At 39.3% G+C, this 20,588-nt stretch overlaps 1 protein-coding gene across 70 annotated transcripts in view; it reads left to right on the forward strand.

Annotated features, from left to right (window-relative positions):
• EPB41 (erythrocyte membrane protein band 4.1) overlaps positions 1–20,588 on the forward strand; it is a 232,942-nt gene that overhangs the window by 142,228 nt on the left and 70,126 nt on the right. For all 70 annotated transcript variants that reach the window (NM_203342.3, NM_001166005.2, NM_203343.3 and 67 more), the window contains 4 exons: positions 1,073–1,160; positions 3,766–3,918; positions 6,499–6,596; positions 9,927–10,099. In NM_203342.3, the coding sequence (NP_976217.1) occupies positions 1,073–1,160; positions 3,766–3,918; positions 6,499–6,596; positions 9,927–10,099 (512 nt within the window). The remainder of the gene's footprint in view (positions 1–1,072; positions 1,161–3,765; positions 3,919–6,498; positions 6,597–9,926; positions 10,100–20,588) is intronic.

Consider the following 20,588-nt stretch of genomic DNA (forward strand, 5'->3'; position numbering starts at 1 on the left):
AATCAGTAGCAAATCTGCACCCTGTCTCCTGTTGTATACATATTTTGGTGGTTGTTGTTCCAAGGAATCCTTTGTCCTTTTAATTAGGGTAAAGACAGATGGATTTGGAAGAGACTTTTCCTTGTGAAATGAAGAGACCCCTGCAGCTTTCTGTAGCTTGAGGCAGTCTTATGGGAAACTGGCGTTTACTGTTTTTTCCTTGGGGATGTGCCTGCATTATTGTTACTGTTAAGTTATACTTGATTGGTCTGAATTGTGCAGCATTAGGAGTGATATTTTTGTCTTTGAAAGCTCTATATAACAGCTCATGAACACTTTTCAAAAGACGGGAAATTTATAGAGGAGAAGAAAAGACTGTCACAGCGAGTGTTTAGACAGTGAGACTGACTGTTTTCAAACAAATCTAATTCATTATATGCCTGGTAATGAAGACATATTAATAACAGAGAAAACAGCCCCATTATCTATGTGCTTCCGTGAACCAGTTTATTTTGTTTATATCAGTGGGCAGGACACCATCTGTTACCAGAAATTTTCTTTTCATCAAGCCTGCCCCGATTAAGAGTCCTCAGTTAAGTAACATCAGCTGCCCTCTTGTTTAATTTCCATAACTCAATTCAGGGGTATGGAGAGAAAAAGGCAGCTATAAGAGGATATTGTAAATTACACCATGCCCTCTGAGGATTTAATTTGGTCATCTCCTTGGCAAGAAAAATTAGCGGGAGGAGCTTATGTATGTCGGAGAAAAAGAGTGAAGAGAAGGGGGCAGAACTAATGATAGATGAAATAGCTTTAAGGAAATTGTTTAGTAGGATTAAAAAAATTTTTTTTGCAGCTTTTTGGTGACTTTTTGTTTGCTCACATTGTCTTTTTCTAAGGTATATTTTAATTATTTAGATACAGGCAGTGATGGGTTCTGTTCCATAATAACCTACTTTCAGGACTAGGAAATATATCTTAATATAGTGGTATGTATATGTTCATGTGTTTAAAATACAGTGAATATATAAATGTTACTGTAAATGATGACACTATAACACTGAAAGAATTTTATGTTTTTATTCTATCAAAGGTCCATGACTCCAGCTCAGGCTGACTTGGAGTTTCTTGAGAATGCCAAAAAGTTGTCTATGTATGGAGTTGATCTTCATAAAGCAAAGGTAATGATAACTTTGCCCTTTATTAATATGCATGTGGAAGATATTATATGATACATGTCTGTTATGTATGTATCACATCTGTGTCATATAATACTTTTTAACAACATCTGGGGTATTTTAAAACATTCAAAAGAGATAGTAGACTGGGCACAGCAGCTCATGCCTGTAGTCCCAGCTACTGGGGAGGCTGAGGCGGGAGGATCACTTGAGTCCAGGAGATCGAGCGTACAGTGAGCCCTGATTGTGCCACTGCACTCCAGCCCTGGCGACAGAGCAAGACCCCGTCTCAAAAAAAAAAAAGAGAGAGAAATAGTACTTCTTGTTAGCTTTTTTTTGTTTTGTTTTGTTTTTTTGAGATGGAGCCTTGCTCTGTCTCCCAGGCTGGAGTGCAGTGGCATGATCTCGGCTCACTGCAAGCTCCGCCTCCCAGGTTCACGCCATTCTCCTGCCTCAGCCTCCTGAGTAGCTGGGACTACAGGCGCCAGCTACCACGCCTGGCTAATTTTTGTATTTTTAGTAGAGACGGGGTTTCACCGTGGTCTCGATCTCCTGACCTCGTGATCCGCCCGCCTCGGCCTCCCAAAGTGCTGGGATTACAGGCGTGAGCCACCGTGCCCGGCCTCTTGTTAGCATTTTAAGTGTATCAGTTAAATCAGTCAACTGTATCAATTGAATTTGCCCCATAGCAATTCCACCCTCAGAATAAAGTTTCATATCCAAGCTACTGTTAAGATCAAAAGATAGCCCCTAGAGAAAAAGAAATTGATTTTCCTAACATGCAGTAACATTTGAAAATATAGAGCAGTGGGCAGCAAGTCCTGTTTCACAGCCAGCATCACCTACATCGAATCACTGAGGATGTTCATTAAATATGTAGATCCCTGAGCTTCTCTCAGATGTATGGAATTAATTTGGAGGCGAGGTTCTAGAATGTCTTGGTTTAATGAGCACCCAAATGATTCTAATTCATGCCTGAATCTGAGAACCACTGGCCTAGAGTAGTGGTTCTCAAAGTATGGTGTCTGAGCCAGCAACATTTAACATCACCTAGGAACTTGTTAGAAATGCACATTTCAGGCCCCATCCCAGGCCTGCTGAGTTAGACTCTCTGGAGGTGGAGCTCAGCAATCCATTTTAAGTTCTCCAGGTTGTTCTGATGCACACTGAATGAACCACAGTGGCTCATTCAAAAACCACTTGGGTAGGGCCCTGGAAACTTGAGCTTTAATCCTAGTTCTACCTAATACAGCCTAACAGAATGAATCCTTAAGGAAAGTCTCCTTACTTCTCTCTTCTTCAGCTACTAAAGTTGCTGGGGAGGTCCAGTGCCAGGCGTGGTGGCTCACACCTGTAATCCCAACAATTTGGGAGGCTGAGGCGGCCGATCGCTCAAGCTCAGGAATTCAAGACCAGACTGGGGAACATGGTGAAATCCCGTCTCCATAGAAAATACAAAAAATTAGTCAGGCATGGTGGCACGTGCCTTTGGTGGTCCCAGCTACTCAGGAGGCTGAGGTGGGAGGATTGCTTGAGCCCAGGAGGTAGAGGCTGCAGTGAGCCTAGATTGCACCACTGCACTCCAGCCTGGGTGACAGTTGAGACTCTGTCTTAAAAAAAAAAAAAAAAAAGAAAAAAGTTGTTCTGGATTATTTTGGGCTGGGTACTACAACTTCTATGAATCTCTAAAGTATATTGTAGGAAGATCAGTACATCAGATTAGGTATGTTTCTAAAACTGAAATGGTTAGATTTTGCTTCACAATTCCTGCTGGAAGCTGGTGTCAATTCAGGTATTGATGGAGTCAGGCAGCATGTTCCCTTCCCAAATATTGTAAAGCAAATTGTTTCTCCAAAGTGAAATGTAGTTATACCCACAAGCTTTAAAAATTTAAGAGGGCATCTTCTGGGAAATTCTCAGTTACATAGTCACTGAATTGGAACTGTATGTAATTCCTGCTTCTCTGTTATAACACGTGTAGGCACTAATATATTTCTCTATACTCATTTTGGGGGAAAGAGTAGTCAAGAAGCATTTAACTTTGTGTTTTGATTACTTAGCTAAACAAACTGTTAGCTGTAGGGACTAACTTAGGTGAAATTTATTTTCTTTGAATTATAGACATAGATGATTAATATTACATATTTAATTTTTTAAAGTTGTCTTTAATAAAGAGGCATATAAATATGATTTCATTGTGCCTTAATGTAACTTCTTGACTTAGGGATCATATTTTTAATTTAATATACTTAACATCAATTTTAAGAACCTAAGATTGTCTTATGCTGAGTTTATATAGGAATAGAGTCAACTCCTACATTTAACATCATTTCTGGAGCTGTTAACACTTTATCATAAAAAAACAAGAATTAATAATTGTGCGTGTATATTTGGTAGTATACATAGCTCTAAGCCCTGCTCTCCAGGAAGTCATGACTGCTGATTTAAACATAATAGGTCCATAAATTATAACTGTTAGGCTGAGCTTTATTTTTCATTGTATGTTTTGTAACTGTTTTTGGTTGTTATCTTCAGATTATCTAGTAATAGTCAACAGTGTATTGAGTACTTTGCTCCAGACTGAAATCCTAACATTTTTCTTTTTCAGGACTTGGAAGGAGTAGATATCATCCTAGGTGTCTGCTCTAGTGGCCTTCTGGTTTACAAAGATAAGCTGAGAATTAACCGCTTCCCTTGGCCCAAAGTGCTGAAGATTTCTTATAAACGTAGTAGCTTTTTCATCAAGATTCGGCCTGGAGAGGTACAGAATTTATATTTCCTTCCTCCCAAACCAGACACAGTCTGTATCTGAAATATCTACATTTCCATTTTCCTTATTAAGTCATCTGAGAAGTCTCTCTATAGTTAACTATTGAAGGGCTGATAATTCCGTTTTCTAAGTTGATCAGTCCTGTGATGCTACTTCTTTTCCTTACTACTGGTCTTCTGGACATTTCACTTTTTGTAAGTAAATATACCATTGCAAAAAGTTAAACTTGGACTGATACATTTGTTCCTTGTTTACGCCAAGCAAAAACTTAATGGAAAAATATTTTTAAATTGAGTAGCATGAGATTTTAAAATTATTTATAGGGATAAATTACTCATGTTTGGCATCACCAATCCTTTATCTCATATAATTAAAATTTATTTGTATGCATAGCTTCTCGTGGTTACTGAGAGTGAGTTCTAGGGCCAAGTTCTAGATTTTTAATAAGAGTTGGATGTTCAACTTTGTACCAGTTAATTCATTTATTAGTTGGTTTGGGGATATACTAATGCTGGCCAAATTTAACTTTTGTATTGAAGAGCCATTATGGAATAGCATAAAATTGTTTAAGTAGGAATTAAAGTTTTTTAAAAAGTTCTGACTTCTTTTCTGCCACATACTAAGCAAAAGACCTGGACAAATCTAAGGCTCAGCTTCCTTGTCATTTGGGCAGGATAATACCTTCTCCATCATAGTTATTTGAAGATCAAATGAGATGACAGCTGTGTAAGTTCTATATAGGAAATGATACTAACCTAAGGTGGCTTTTGTGTGTATATATCACCATCTGCTGGTGAATAATGGCTAATTATTTGTGCCTGCAAATTCTGGATGTGGAGCCTTAAAAATCTTGGATAGGGATTACCATAGAAGCATTTATTTTGTACCATAATTATTTTACCTATGCCTAGCACAGAGCAGTCAGTGTCTTCCCTTAAAATTTCAAATTCAAGAGTTATTCAATCAACAAATATTTATTGAGAGCTTTCCTGTGTTGGACACTATTCTAGGGACTAGGAATATAACAGCAAATTAGAATCTCATCCCTCACACACGTTAATATGAAAATGGGAAATCCTTAGCTTCTAAAAATGTAGAATTCTTATTTAGAAGGCAATCAGGAACAACAGGATTTTGAGAAAAAGTATTGTGGCAGCAGTAGATGATTTAGCAGTGGCATGGTATGGTGAAGAGGGTAAAAATCTGGTTCTGTCATTTCATAGCTGTCAGTCTGAGCAAATAACTTCTCTGACCTCAGTTTCTTCATGTCTAAAAATATAGATGATATTATCTAATCATAGTGTTACTGGCAATAGTAGGCACTCAAAATAAATGTCAGTTTCCTTTCCATCTTATAAAATATGCTTAAAGTAGAAATAAAGAGGCAAGAGGTCAGCAGGACAGTGTTTCTAGTAACCCTGGGAGAATATGTTTTGCTTCAGTATAAGAGGAATCTAGATAAATTAATGATCAATCAAAGGAAAAAAGAAATATTTAATGATTCAAGAATCTGAGGAATAAGTTCAAGAGATCTATTGTACAACATGGTGACTATCATTAATAACAATGTATTGTTCTCTTGAAAAATTGCTAAGAGACTAGATTTTAAGTTTTCTCACCACAAAAAAATAATAAGTGTGTCAGGTAATACATATGTTAATCAGCTCAATTTAGCCATTTCACAATGTATACGTGTTTCTTGGGTTTGTTTGTTTGTTGTTTTTTTTTTTTTTTTTTTTTTTTGGAAGAAGAAGTCTCGCTTTGTCACCCAGGCTGGAGTGCAGTGGCGCCATCTCAGCTCACCGCAACCTCTACCTCTCAGGTTCAAGTGATTCTCCTACCTCAGCCTCCTGAGTAGCTGGAATTACAGGCGCGTGCCACCATGCCCGGCTAATTTTTTTTGTATTTTTAGTAGAAATGAGGTTTCACCATGTTGGTCAGGCTGGTCTTGAACTCCTGACCTTGTGATCTGCCCACCTCGGCCTCCCAAAGTGCTGGGATTACAGGCGTAAGCCACCGTGCCTGGCAGGTATACATATTTCAAAACAACATGTTGTAGATGATAAGTATGTACAATTTTTATTTGTCAATTTAAAAAATTGATTTAAAAATCTGGCTTGAACTAAAATCTTTAGCTCCTATTACTAATTTCTATTGCATAATAATATTGATTGATTGGAGGACTTGGTCAATATCCCATTCCCTGTTCATTGAACAGTGTCCCAAATGCAGATAGTGACTAAGGAAAAGCAGTGTCTGGACAATCAAGAGGTGACTTAATTGTGTCTCAGAAAAATGTATAATGAATGTGTGTGTGTTTTCTGGAAAAAAAAAAAAAAGCTTAAATTATATGAGATGCATTCCCTGGCTTTCTTGCTTTGGAAAAAGCCACCCTCAGTGAGTGAATTTCTTTCAGTAAGTAGGAAAAAATTCCAAATGACATTTTATGTCCTTAAATTGGTAACAATGGCCTCTTCTGTGGCACCATATTTCTCTGGTACTGTATCACTGTAATCTGGTACTGTATCACATGTAATACTTCATGTCCCATGTTTATTTGTGTTTTTGTAGCAAGAGCAGTATGAAAGTACCATCGGATTCAAACTTCCCAGTTACCGAGCAGCTAAGAAATTATGGAAAGTCTGTGTAGAACATCACACGTTTTTCAGGTATTATTCTCACTTAAGTATTTTTCAAGGATAAATTATTTATAACGTTTCTATTTTAAGCCTGCTATTAAAATTCCTTTCATTGTATGACTGGCACTCTTTTATTTAGCTCAGGTGAGATCATCTTAAGCAAGACAAAATGAATCCATTTCTCTCCCTTTGGGTTGAAAAGTATGCCTCAACATTTCCAAAGCACCTGTCTGTGTATGGTAGAAGGAAGAGAGGAGTAAGGAATGGGAACCTGTATTTACCAGGGACTCTGGGATTGCATTAATTGTAGCTAAAGTCAGTCCGATTAAGGGGAGTTACCCTCACTTACCTCCACGTGTGATTTTTTTTTTTTTTTTTTTTTTGAGACGGAGTTTCGCTCTTGTTGCCCAGGCTGGAGTGCCGTGGCGCGATCTCGGCTCACTGCAACCTCCGCCTCCCGGGTTCAAGTGATTCTCCTGCCTCAGCCTCCTAAGTAGCTGGGATTACAGGCACCCGCCATCATGCCCAGCTAATTTTTTGTATTTTTAATAGAGACACGCTTTCACTATGTTGGTCAGGGTGGTCTCAAACTCCTGACCTCAGGTGATCCACTTGCCTTGGCCTCCCAATGTGCTGGGATTACAGGCATGAACCACTGTGCCCGGACGGAATTTTTATTTTTTTGTTTTTGCTAATTTTTTTTTCCACATGGAATTTCTCTAAGCAATGCTTGACTACTTTTTGTGGAGCTTTTATACTATAAGGTTAAAGATGTGAAGCTGATTTTTTTTTTTTTTTTTCGAGACAGAGTCTCGCTCTGTCGCCCAGGCTGGAGTGCAGTGGCGGATCTCGGCTCACTGCAAACTCCTACTCCTGGGTTCAAGCAATTCTCCTGCCCCAGTCTCCTGAGCAGCTGGGATTACAGGTGCACACCACCATACCTAGCTAGTTTTTGTTTTTGTATTTTTAGTAGAGACGAGGTTTCACTGTGTTAGCCAGGATGATCTCGATCTCCTGACCTCATGATCTGCCCACCTCGGCCTCCCAAAGTGCTGGGATTACAGGTGTGAGCCACCGTGCCTGGCCAACCTTGAAGCTGATTGTTAGCTTCACTCTAATGAAACCCAGAAAGGGAGCACACAGAACCATATTTGAAGCCCAATAGTACCCGATAATCAGAAGACAGAAGAAAGTATTTCCTCTGCTGTTTGTTTGTTTGTGATGGAGTCTTGCTCTGTTGCCAGGCTGGAGTGCAGTCTGTGATCCTGGCTCACTGCTCCTGGGTTCCAGTGATTCTCCTGCCTCAGCCTCCCAAGTAGCTGGGATTACAGATGCCCAACATCACGCCTGGCTATTTTTTGTATTTTTAGTAGAGATGGAGTTTCACTACGTTGACCAGGCTGGTCTCGAACTCCTGACCTCAAGTGATCTGCTCGCCTCGGCCTCCCAGAGTGCTGGGATTACAGGCGTGAGCCACTGTGCCAAGAGGCCATATTATTAACCCCTTGAGTTCGTTTACCAAGCATTTTCTATGTGCTTACCCTTCTTGTATGCACCATGTTAGGCATTGGGAATATACTACAAGATAGTTCTAGTCTCTCTCCTGGTGGAACACCCAGTCTAGTAGAGAAGACAGACCTTAGACAAGTAATTACTTGTATTGAAAGGAAAGTTGGCTATTTATCAGTTTGCCTTTTTTTTTTTTTTGAGACAGAGTCTCACTCTGTTGCCCAGGCTGTAGTGCAGTGGCGCAATGCCTCAACCTCCCAAGTAGCTGGGACTATAGATGCATACCACCATGCCCAGCTAATTTTTAAATTTTTAGTAGAGACCGGGTTTCACCATATTGACCAGGCTGGTCTCGAACTCCTGACAAGTGATCCACTCGCCTTGGCCTCTCAAAGTGCTGTGATTACAGGCGTGAGCCACTGCACTCGGCCCAGTTTGCCTTTTTAAGAACGTTTCTTTATTATGGAAAATTTCATATGTAGCAACAGTACAATAAAATCCCCTTGTACTTATCACCCAGCTTCAATAATTATCACCCCAAAGCCAATCTTGTTTCTTCTATATCCCTATCCACTCCTTCCCCCTACTTCCGAGATTATTTTGAAGCAAATCCCAGGCCTCACGTCATTTCATTCATAAATAAACTTGATTCTTTAAGAGAAAGAGAGAGAGAGATAATCCTGATATCTTTTCCTTCTATTTATATTTTCATATAATAGCACTATAGCACAGTCAACGAGAAGAAAATTCAAGGAAATTAATATTTCAATTATTTCAAAATAAAACATGAGGGTACATTTTACACCCAATTAAAGAATCTTAATTATTGGCATTAACACATTTATTTATGCTTTCATCATCTCTCCTTCTTTAAAATCAAACCACAAAAGTAGAATTTTTTAAAAAGAGCAAGGAGGAGTAAAAAAGTGATTTTTGAATGTCTAATAACTGTGGTATAGATTTCAGCTGCAGCCAGTATACTTACTTGTAGGATGGCATATTTAAATCCATTGCATCAAAATAAGAGAATACCTTAAAATCTAATGCTCCCTTACATAAAAGTATATGTTTGCTGAATTGAAATCAATTACCTCAAAGGGAAAAATACTCTCTTTTTGGTAGTATTTGATGTAGTAATTTATGTCCTTATTCAACAAATATTTATTGGATATCATATTTATGCCAGGCACTATGCCAGAAGCAAAAACACAAAGATGAATAAGCCATGGTCTTTGTTCTTTACTCCTAGAGAATTCAGTCTTATAGGGGAGACCAGCATAGAAATAGATTGTTTTAATTCAGTATGGTACAAAGAGTACATAGAGTACCATATAGGAAAAAGATGGGGTTCCCAACTGAGTTTAAAAATACACCAAATAACCTGTTAAATAGATTACCAGGCATTAATTGAGTTTGGAGTGCATTTGACAAAACTGTCATTCCAGGAGAGTGGAAAAAGAGCTCTGGGCTTCGACTTTGTTACTGCCCAATGTCCTAACAGCTGTGTGACCTTAAGTAACTTCTTTTTTGAGGTTCAGTTTCCTATATCTATAAAATGGGGAAAACATTATAAGGATGTAGTAAAAATACTGCAGTGCTGTAAAAACATTTTGAAAACTGTAAGGCCCTTTCTATAGAGCTATAAATAAAATTAATATAGGTCCCAACTGGTTGCTTTGAGAAATGACAAAGAACTAAAATAATGATTACTTGATTGAAAATTTCTTAGTAACTATATGGAAACCCTGAGAATTGTGAAACTTTTTTATTCTTGATTTTGTTTTTAATTTTACAGTTTTAGAATAATAAGATGAATATATAATAATATGACTATTACGATTTTCCCCCCAGATTGACATCTACAGACACCATTCCCAAAAGCAAATTTCTTGCGCTAGGATCCAAATTTCGATACAGTGGCCGGACTCAAGCTCAGACCAGGCAAGCTAGTGCTCTAATTGACAGGCCTGCCCCACACTTCGAGCGTACAGCAAGTAAACGGGCGTCCCGGAGCCTCGATGGAGGTTTGTATTGAATATTAATGATTTCTTGTGATCATAATTCATTTGGAAAGATAAAGGAAGTGCAATTATCTATAAGAGAACCGAATTAAAGAAGCTCAGGGTTGGGCCTGGTGCAGTGGCTTACACCTGTAATCCTAGCACTTTGGGAGGCCAGGGCAGGTGGATTGCCTGAGCTCAGGAGTTTGAGACCAGCCTGGGCAACACAGTGAAACCCCATCTCTACTAAAAATACAAAAAATTAGCTGGGCGTGGCGGCATATGCCTGTAATCCCAGCTACTTGGGAGGCTGAGACAGGAGAATTGCTTGAACCCAGGAGGTAGAGGTTGTAGTGAGCCGAGATCATGCCGTTGCACTCCAGCCTGGCTGACAGAGTGGGACTCTGTCTCAAAAAAAAAAGAAGCTCAGTGGTAAAATGAAAGGGATCTTACTAATTGTCTAATCTTAATAGAATCATCTTAAGAAAAGGAAAATTGAGATTCCGAGAGTAGTGACTAGATCATGGTTCCACTGCTAGGTAGTGGTGGATCAAACAGTACCAGAATTAGAATTATAAATCTAAATCTATCAGAATCTCTACCAGAGAGTAAAAATCTAATGTAGTATGCTGAACTGAAGGCCTCTTAGCATTTAAAAATAGCTAATATTTTTCTGCAGTCCTGGTAACACAGGAGGCTGAGGCAGGAGGATAGCTTGAGCCCAGGAGGTGGAGGCTGCAGTGTGCACCTCTGTACTCCAGCCTAGGCCACAAAGTGAGACTCTGTCTCTAAAAAATAAATAAATAAATAATAGCTATTTTCTATAGTAGAAAAGAGGAAAAGGGTCTGCCTTACTACAACAATCTTTTTTTTTTTCTTAATTTTTTTATTTTTTGAGATGGAGTCCCACTCTGTGGCCCAGGCTGGAGTGCAGTGACTCAACCTCGGCCCACTGCAACCTCTGCCTACCAAGGTTCAAGTGATTCTCCTGCCTTAGTCTCCCGAGTAGCTGTGATTACAGGCGTGTGCCACCATTCCTGGCTAATTTTTGTATTTTTAGTAGAGACAGGGTTTCACTATGTTCGCCAGGCTGGTCTCAAACTCCTGACCTCAGGTTATCTACCCACCTCGGCCTCCCAAAGTGCTGAGATTATGGGTGTGATCCACCATGCCCAGCCATACAAGAATAATTTAAAAAGAAGTTTGCCACGTGGCAATTATGGATAGGAAACTCCAATATCCCATTGTTGGAGTCTCCAAATGTTTAAATAAAATAGGGAGGAAATACACAAATTTCGTGATTGTATATACTGACAGAAGACCTGTCTGAATTGATATATTGTGGGAGGATCTTCTAAGTTAGCATTTGAGCCCATTACTGAAACGAGGTAATAAGCTACATTCAGTTCCTTATGTCACTAAAAAAAGAGTGGCTAATAAATAAAAATTCAGGCTGGGTGCGGTGGCTCACACCTATAATCGCAGCACTTTGGGAGGCCAAGGTGGATGGATCACATGAGGCCAGAAGTTCGAGATCAGCCTGGCTGACATGGTGAAACCCTGTCTCTAGTAAAAATACAAAAATCAGCTGGGCATGGTGGCGCACGTCTGTAATCCCAGCTACACAGGAGGCTGAGGCATGAGAATCGCTTAAACCCGGGAGGCGGAGGCTGCAGTGAGCCAAGATTGCGCCATTGGACTCCAGCCTGGGAGACAGAGTGAGAGTGTCTCATAAATAAATAAATTAAATAAATAAATAAATAAATAAATAAATAAATAAATAAATGTTCAGAAGGGCCGGGCATGGTGGCTCATGCCTGTAATCCCAGCACTTTGGGAGCCCGAGGCAGGAGGATCACTTGAGGTCAGGAGTTCAAGACCAGCCTAGCGAACAGGGCGCAACCCTGCCTCTACTAAAGGTACAAAAATTAGCTGGGCTTGGTGGCGCACGCCTGTAATCCCAGCTACTCAGGAGGCTGAGGCACGAGAATTGCTTAAACCTGGGAGGCAGAGGTTGCAGTGAGCTGAGATGGCACCTCTGTACTCCAGCCTGGGCAACAGAGTGAGACTCTGTCTCAAAATAAAATAAAGTAAAAGATATAAGTTCAGAAGGCAATAATCCAAATAGGGTATTATTGATTACCTTTATTATTTGTTACCAGTGTACAAGCCTATGCTATCTACTGTAAAAGCAAGATACATGTTGTTATGTGCATATATAGTGTGCAGAGTGGGACGCCGTCTCAAAAAAAAAAAAGAAGCTCAGTGGTAAAATGAAAGGGATCTTACTAATTGTCTAATCTTAATAGAACCATCTATTAATAGAACAGGTTAAGGATTTGGGTTCTGGAATCAGACAGACCTGATTCCAATATCAACCCTAGCATTTATGAGCTATGTTCCTAGGCAAATTACTTCATTTCTCTGTGCCTCAGTTTTATCATTTGTAAAATGGAGATGATGATAGTATCATACTACCTCAAAGAGTTTTCATGAGGAATAAATGAGGTGGCATATGTATGGTATTTAGCACAATGGCTGCCACTTAATGAGTTCCCCCCACAAAATGTTAGCTATCATTAAGATGCTGTTTTTCTGGCTGTAACATTTGTATCATCTGGAACCATGCTACTATATTCTGGTTTGTAGATGTATGCAGACCCTCTCATGAGATATGTAGACCATTGTACAGCAGCCATAGTCACCATTTGGAAGTTCCCTACTAATTGAGCAAGTATTTCTTTCCATGATGTGAGGAAATTTTATAATAGAATGTGAAAAGATCATTTTTACAATGTTCCTCTTGGTTTCATAGTTTAGTCATCTCTTGTGCTAGGTAATGAGCTAGGTGCAAGAGATATTATAGTGAGAGTCCCTGCCCTCATTCAATTCTTAACCTAATGGAGGATATTATAATATTCATCATAGTGGAAGAAACAAGGCATTATGAGAGCATATGTCCTTAATTTAGAGGAATCAGGAAGGGGTCAGCCACATTTGGAAAAAAGATCACCTAAGCAGTAGGACTTTTGTGCTTCCATACTGTGAGTCATGCTTTTTTGTTTTTTTTGTTTTGTTTTGTTTTGTTTTTTTTGAGACAGAGCCTCACTCTGTCACCCAAGCTGGAGTGCAGTGGCACAGTCTCAGCTCACTGCAACCTCCGCCTCCAAGATTCAAGTGATTCTCGTACCTCAGCCTCCCAAGTAGCTGGGATTACAGGCATGTGCCACCATACCTGGCTAATTTTTGTATTTTTAGTGGAGATGGGGTTTCACCATGTTGGCTAGGCTAGTCTTGAACTCCTGGCCTCAAGTAATCTGCCTGCCTCAGCCTCCCAAAGTGCTGAGATTATAGACATGACACCCCCCAACTTTTTTTTTTTTGGTGTTTTTCTACTCTCCTGAGGGGCTGTTTTAATAGTAACAATACAAGGCATGTTGCATGCTTTGTCTTAATCTTCATGAAAACACTATGAACTAGGCTTGGAGATTAAAATGACTTTTCATAAGACGTGACATCTGGTAAATGGAAGTGCTAAGAGTGAAATTCAGGTTGGTTTAACTCCAAAACTCATGTTCTTTCAGATACATATTTATTACTTTGTTCAACAATTTTTCCTATGGGCCAGATGGTATTCCAGTCACTAGAGATACAGCCGTGAGCACACAAACATAGTCTCTGCCTTCATGGAGCTTACCTTCTGTCATTGGAAACAAAGAAGAATAAAACAAAATAATTTCAGATGGTGATGAATGCTGTGGAGAAAATAAAACAGGATGAGGGATATAGACTATCTGGGGATGGGGGAAATTAAGGAGTATTTCAGATTGGATGGTCCAATCTAATTTAGAAGGCTTCTTTGAGGAGCTTCATTTGAGCTGAGACCTGAATTATGTGAAGGAGCCGGCCATCTCAAAATCTGGGGAAAGAGCCTTGCAGAAGAGGGAGTAGCAAGTACAAAGTCCTGAAAGTAGGAATGAGCTTGCCATGTGTCTAGAGCAGTGCTGTCCCATGGACCTTTCTGTGCTGATGGAAATCTTTCATTTTGTGATATCCAGTTCAGCAGCCAATAGCTGCTAAGCTAAGAACTTGAAATGTGGCTATGTGCCTGAGGAACGGAATTTTAATTCCAATTTAAATAGCCACATGTGGTGTGTAGCTCACATATCAGACAGCATAGGTCTAGATTCCAGAAAATGAAGGGGCGAGGAGTACAAAATAAGTGAGGTCGGAGAAGTAGGTGGGAGCCAGATTGTATAGGGCCTTGTGGGTCACAGTAAAGAGTTTAGATTGTATTTCATTTGCACTGGGAAGCTATTAGAGGGAGTGATGCAATCTGAATCCCATTTTTAAAAGATCGCTGACAGCTGAATAGTCCATTGAAGTGTCAGTGAAAAGCAGGGCGAAGGCTGTTGCAGAGTCTGGGACAGCCTGGACTTGAGTGTTGGCAACAAAGACAGGGAAAAGTAGTCAGGGATACATTTGGAGATAGGGCTGACTGAATTGCTGACAAATTAAGTATTGGAGATGATAAGGAAAAGAAACTCAAGTTTTATTGCTTGGCTTAATCATTTAGTAGAATGAGAAAATCTGGGAGAGTAGCAGAGTTGGGGATATGGAAAATAAAAACTCCTACTGTGGATAAGTTAAGTTTGAGGCATAATCATTTAATCTTCATGTCTTTGCCATATTCAGATAACAATATCAGGCATCTCCCTCCTTGTCCAGTAAATCACCTTACTTCTAGTTTACCTTATGTGTGGGGAATTATCTTTTTATCCCCATTTTTCAGGTGAGAAAACTGAGGTTGGAAAGTTTAAGTGACTTGTTCAGCATCTCACAGACAGTAAGTTGCAAACTATGACAAAAATCCAGGTCTGTCTGATAGCATGTTCCATGGCTTTCCTTGCTAAATGGAGTTTCATGGTTATATAGATACTATGCCTGATGTATTGTCTTTTCCTGATAGCAAAGATAACCAAAGAGTCAAGTGTTAATGAGCTTTGGTACCTTGAACAAGTTAGAAAGCTTTACAGAAATCACATCTTGACTGCCTTATTACATTTATATTCTGAATTTTTTTTTAAGATGTATGGTCTTAACTTTTCATGGTAATTACCACAGTTCTTGCTACAGTGTATTTAATAAATAAATATTGGCTGGATGTGGTGGCTCACACCTGTAATCCCAGCACTTTGGGAGGCTGAGGCGGGCGGATCATTTGAGGTCAGGAGTTCGAGACCAACCAGGCTGACATGTTGAAACCCTGTCTCTACTAAAAATACAAAAATATTAGCCAGTTAGCTGGGCATGGTGGCACATGCCTGAATTCCCAGCTACTCAGGACGCTGAGGCAGGAGAATCGCTTGACCCCAGGAGGCAGAAGTTGCAGTGAGCTGAGATCGCGCCTGCACTCCAGCCTGGATGACAGAGTGAGACTCCGTCTCAAAAATAACAATAAAATAAAATAAAATACCATTCTTTCCCTACTGCATTCCAGTGTCACCTTTGTTATAAATCAGGTGACCATAAATTTGGGAGTTCATTTCTGGTCTCTCTAATCTCTTGTATTGATCTTTGTGTACCCTTGTGTCAATACCACACTATCTTAATTATTCTAGCTTTTATAAGTGTTTAAATTCTCTAACAATATTCTCTAAGATTATCTTGGCTATTTTTAGCCCTTAGCGTTATCTTATATATTGTAGAATCAGATTTTCTATTTCCACTAAAAAAGTCTTAATACTTTTATTGGGATTTAGTTGATTATATGGATCAGTTTGGAGATAATTGGTATTATAATATTGAGTCTTCTGATTCACAAACATGCTATAACCCTCCTTTTGTTTGGGTTTCCTTTAATTTCTCTCAGTAATGTTTTGTGATTTTTGGTGTAGGTAACTTGTGCATCTTTCATTAGATTTATTCTTACAGATTTGATGTCATTTGCTATTTTATATTAATATTATTAGATAGGGTCTCACTCTGTCATCCAGGCTGGAGTGCGATGGAGCGATCACAAGTCACTGCAGCCTCAGTCTCCCAGGCCCAGGTGATCCTCCCACCTCAGCCTCACAAGTAGCTAGGACTACAGGTGCATGCCACCATGCCCAGCTAATTTTTTTTTTTTTTTTTAGAGACAGGGTCTTGCCATGTTGCCCAGGCTGGTCTCAAATTCCCAGGCTCAGGCAATCCTCCCACCTTGGCTCCCCAAAGTGCTAGGATTACAAGAGTGAGCCACCACACCCAGCCATCGTTTGCTATCTTAAATGGTATCTTTTGGTTTTTGGCTGGTTGCAGTGCCTCATGCCTATAATCCCAGTACTTTGGGAGGCCAAGGTGGGAGGATCGCTTGAGTCTGAGAGTTCAAGACCAGCCTGGGCAACATGGCAAGACCCTGTCTCTAAAAAAAAAAAAAAAAAAATTAGCTGAGCATGGTAGTGCACACCTGTGGTCCCAACTACATGGAAGGCTGAGGCAGGAGGATCACTTCAGCCTAGGAGGTTAAGGCTGCAGTGAGCTGTGCTTGTGCCACTGCACTGCAGCCTGGGCAACAGAGTGAGACCCTGTCTCTAAAATAAAATAAAATAAAACAAAATAAAATAAATGGTATCCTAAATTTTTTATTTTTTGTTCAATTGTTTTGGTACATAGAAATACAATTAATTTTTCTAGTTTGACCTTATACTCAGTAATCTTACTAAAAAAATTTTTTTTTAATTTAATTTTATTTTTTTTTTGAGACAGAGTCTCACTCTGTCACTCAGACTGGAGTGCAGTGGCACTATCTCGGCTCACTGCAACCTCTGCCTCCTGGGTTCAAGTGACTCTCCTGCCTCAGCCTCCTGAGTAGCTGGGATTACAGGTGCACGCCACCACCATGCCCGGCTAATTTTTTGTATTTTTAGTAGAGACGAGGTTTCACCCTGTTGGTCAGGCTGTTCTCGAACTCCTGACCTCGTGATCCACCCACCTCGGCCTCCCAAAGTGCTGGGATTACAAGCGTGAGCCACCACACCCAGCCCTAAAAAATTTATTATTAATTTTAATGGTTTATCTGTGGATTATTTGGGGTATACATTATTGTGTACTCAACATCAACTGAAAATAATGATTGTTGTATGTCTTCCTTTCCATCTCGCATTTTTAATTTCTTTAATTGCTTTGTTGCTGGCTAGAACGTCCAATGTAATGCTGAATACAAGCATTAATAACTATCATCTTTCCCAATTTTAGGGCAAAAGCTTCAGTATTTCATCAAGCTTCCTTATATGGTATTTTCTTTATCATATAAGGAAGTTGTCATTCTAGTTTCCTACACATTTTAATTGTGAATTAGTGTTACTTTTATCAAATGCTTTTTACTTCATCAGTTGATATAATAAAATGATTTTTCTCCTTTTTATGTTAATGTGGTATATTATTTTTACTTTCAATTTTTAAACGACCTAAGAATTTTTGGAGTAAGTTCGAATTGGTCGTAATACTCTTTTCTTTTTTATTGTTTTAGGATTTCTACAACTATTTTCATAAGAGAGATAGGCCTATAATTTTCCTTTTGTAATGTTGTGGTCAGGTTTTAGTTTCGAGTTTATGCTGGTCTCATAAAATAAATTGAGAAGAATTCCTTCTTTTTCTGTTCTCTGGAAGAGTTTGTTAAAGACTGTTGTCATTTCTTTGTTACTGTTTAGAAGAATTCGCCTATGAAGCCATATCTGGTCCTAGAGATCTCACTGTGGGAGGTTCTTTACTTACAGATTCAGTGTCTTTATTAGATAAGGGACTATTAAAATGTTCTAGTTCTTGTTTCAGTTTTGATAAATTGTGTTTCTTTTTTCTTTCTTTCTTTCCTTTTTTTTTTTTTTTTGGAGAGAGAGTCTTAGCTCTCTCAGGCTGGAGTGCAGTAGTGCCGTCATAGCTTGCTGTAGCCTTGACCTCCCAGGCCCAAATGATCCTCCCACCTCAGCGTCCTGAGTAGCTGGTACCACAAGTTCACGCTACCGCGCCTGGCTAATTTTTTTTTTTTTTTTTTGTAGAGACAAGGTCTTACTGTGTTGCCCAGGCTGATCTTGAACACCTGGGCTCAAGCAGTCCTCCCACCTTGGCTTCTCAAAGTGCTGGGATTATAGGTGTGAGTCATCGCACCTGGCCTAGTTGTGTTTTTCTAGGAAATGTGCATTTTATCTAAATTTCCAAATATATTTACATAAAGCTGGGTATCTTTTCAATATCTGTAAGAACTATAGCAGGGTCCACTTTTGCATTCCTGATATTGGTAAGTTGTACCTTTTTGTTTCGAATAGCCTTGGTAGAGGTATATTGATTTTATTAATCTTTTCTTTTTTATATTGTAAATTGACAATTTATGTATGTATGTATGTATGTATGTATGTATTTATTTTTGAGGTGGAGTTTCACTCTTGCTGCCCAGGCTGGAATGGCGTGATCTCGGCTCACTGCAACTTCTGCCTCCCAAGTTCAAGCGATTCTCCCGCCTCAGCCTCCCAAGTAGCTGGGATTACAGGCATGCGCCACCATGCCCGGCTAATTTTTGTATTTTTAGTAGAGACGAGGTTTCACCATGTTGGTCAGGCTGGTCTCTACCTCCTGACCTCAAGTAATCTACCTGCTTCGGCCTCCCAAAGTTCTGGGATTACGGGCGTGAGTGAGCCACCGAGCCTGGCTGACAATTTATAATTGTATATATTTATGGGGTACAAAGTAATTGTCTTAAGTTTTTCAAAGAACCAACTTTTGGTTTTGTTGTTTTTTTCCTATTATATATAGTTTAACTCATGCCAGCTGATATCTTTATTATTTTCTTTTTTTGAGACGGAGTTTTGCTCTCGTTGCCTAGGCTGGAGTGCAATGGCGTGATCTCGGCTCACCGCAACCTCTGCCTCCCAGGTTCAAACAATTCTCCTGCCTCAGCCTCCCGAGTAGCTGGGATTACAGGCATGCACCACCACGCCCGGCTAATTTTGTATTTTTAGTAGAGACGGGGTTTCTCCATGTTGAGGCTGGTCTCGAACTCCTGACCTCAGGTGATCCACCCACCTCAGCCTCCCAAAGTGCTGGGATTACAGGCGTGAGCCACCGCGCCCGGCCTATTATTTTCTTTACGCTTTTATTGAGCTTTTTTAAAAAAAATTCTTGAACTAGATACTCATTAATGTTCATTATTTCTTACAACTTAACCTTAGAATGTAAGTGACTTGCCTAAGGTTACATAGCTAGTTGGAAAGAATTAGAAGGGAATCCGGGACAATTCTCCTAGGCCCATGCTTTTTACTCTTCACCATGATGACTTCTTTTTTTTAGAAAGAGTAGAATAAAAGTTAATAGTCAATATTCCTTGAGCACTTAGTATGTTCCAGGCACTGTTCTATCTTTTAAGTATCTGAAGTGCATATAAACTGAATAGGACAATTTTTTTTTGTAGTTCTGTTTTTAAATGTCTTATTTTTCTCTTTGTACTATAGTATAAAAAGTGGAAATATGTCTGTGTAACTATTTTTCCCTCCTTTCCTTAGATACTTCTCTGTGCTCCTTAAAAGATACTTTTTCCCGTTGAGTCACCCCTCCCTTTTCAAAAGATTAATATAACTCTGTAAGCTAGAGATGGTGTATCAGGGAAACTTTTACAAGAATTGCTTTATAAGGGGTCTTATTTTAATGATAAAAATGAGCATTCCCTTCCTCTTCTGTTATGTGTGGTGCTTAGAGCATCTGCTTCACCAGCTGGAGTACCAAAACTGGTTCAGATCCCAGTTTTATGATAGAGTAGTAAGTTGCAAGCGTAGCTAATAATGATGACAAAGATTATATTTTTCTTGCACTTTTTGCTTTTCAAACCATTTCCATGTATTCCTATTTAATACTAGCAACTTAGTCAATAAGAGAAAACATTTAGGAATTACAGTTTTACTCATGAGGAAACTGGAGCACAAAAGAAAGGGCCACACAACCAGGTAGTTCATCCATTCAGTGAGCAGTGGTTACAGTGATTCTTGCCAGGGGTGTACATCCTTATCACCTTTGGAGCTTTAAAACAAAACACATGCCCAAGCCTCACTCTTGGATAGCTCATCTCACTAGAGTGGGCCTGAGCATCATCTGATTTTTTTGTTTTTTGTCTTGAAAAACAAACATTGTATCAGAGGACACAAATGATTTATGTGGTCCTCTGATAAAAGAACCACCCTACCGCATACTAGCAGAAATTGTGCTAGTAAATAACAGCTAGAAGTAGAAGTTGTTTGCCTTTACTCAGTCTGATGGTTTGAATTTTATTCTTTACTGCTGTAGTATATAACTATCTAAGTTTCTGTTGTCAGCCAAGAGCAATATAGTATTGAAGTTAGTGGGTCACCATCAGCATTTTTCTTTATGTAGACCCTCAGATATGGGAGATACTGGATTTTTAAAGTTATGTATTGTCTATATATGCACCAAAATCTTGTAAATATTAACAGCTGAATTAATAAAACTGAAGACCCACACATCTTAAAAA

Source organism: Homo sapiens, chromosome 1 (genome assembly GCF_000001405.40).
Source record: "Homo sapiens chromosome 1, GRCh38.p14 Primary Assembly".
Taxonomy (NCBI): Eukaryota; Metazoa; Chordata; class Mammalia; order Primates; family Hominidae; genus Homo; species Homo sapiens.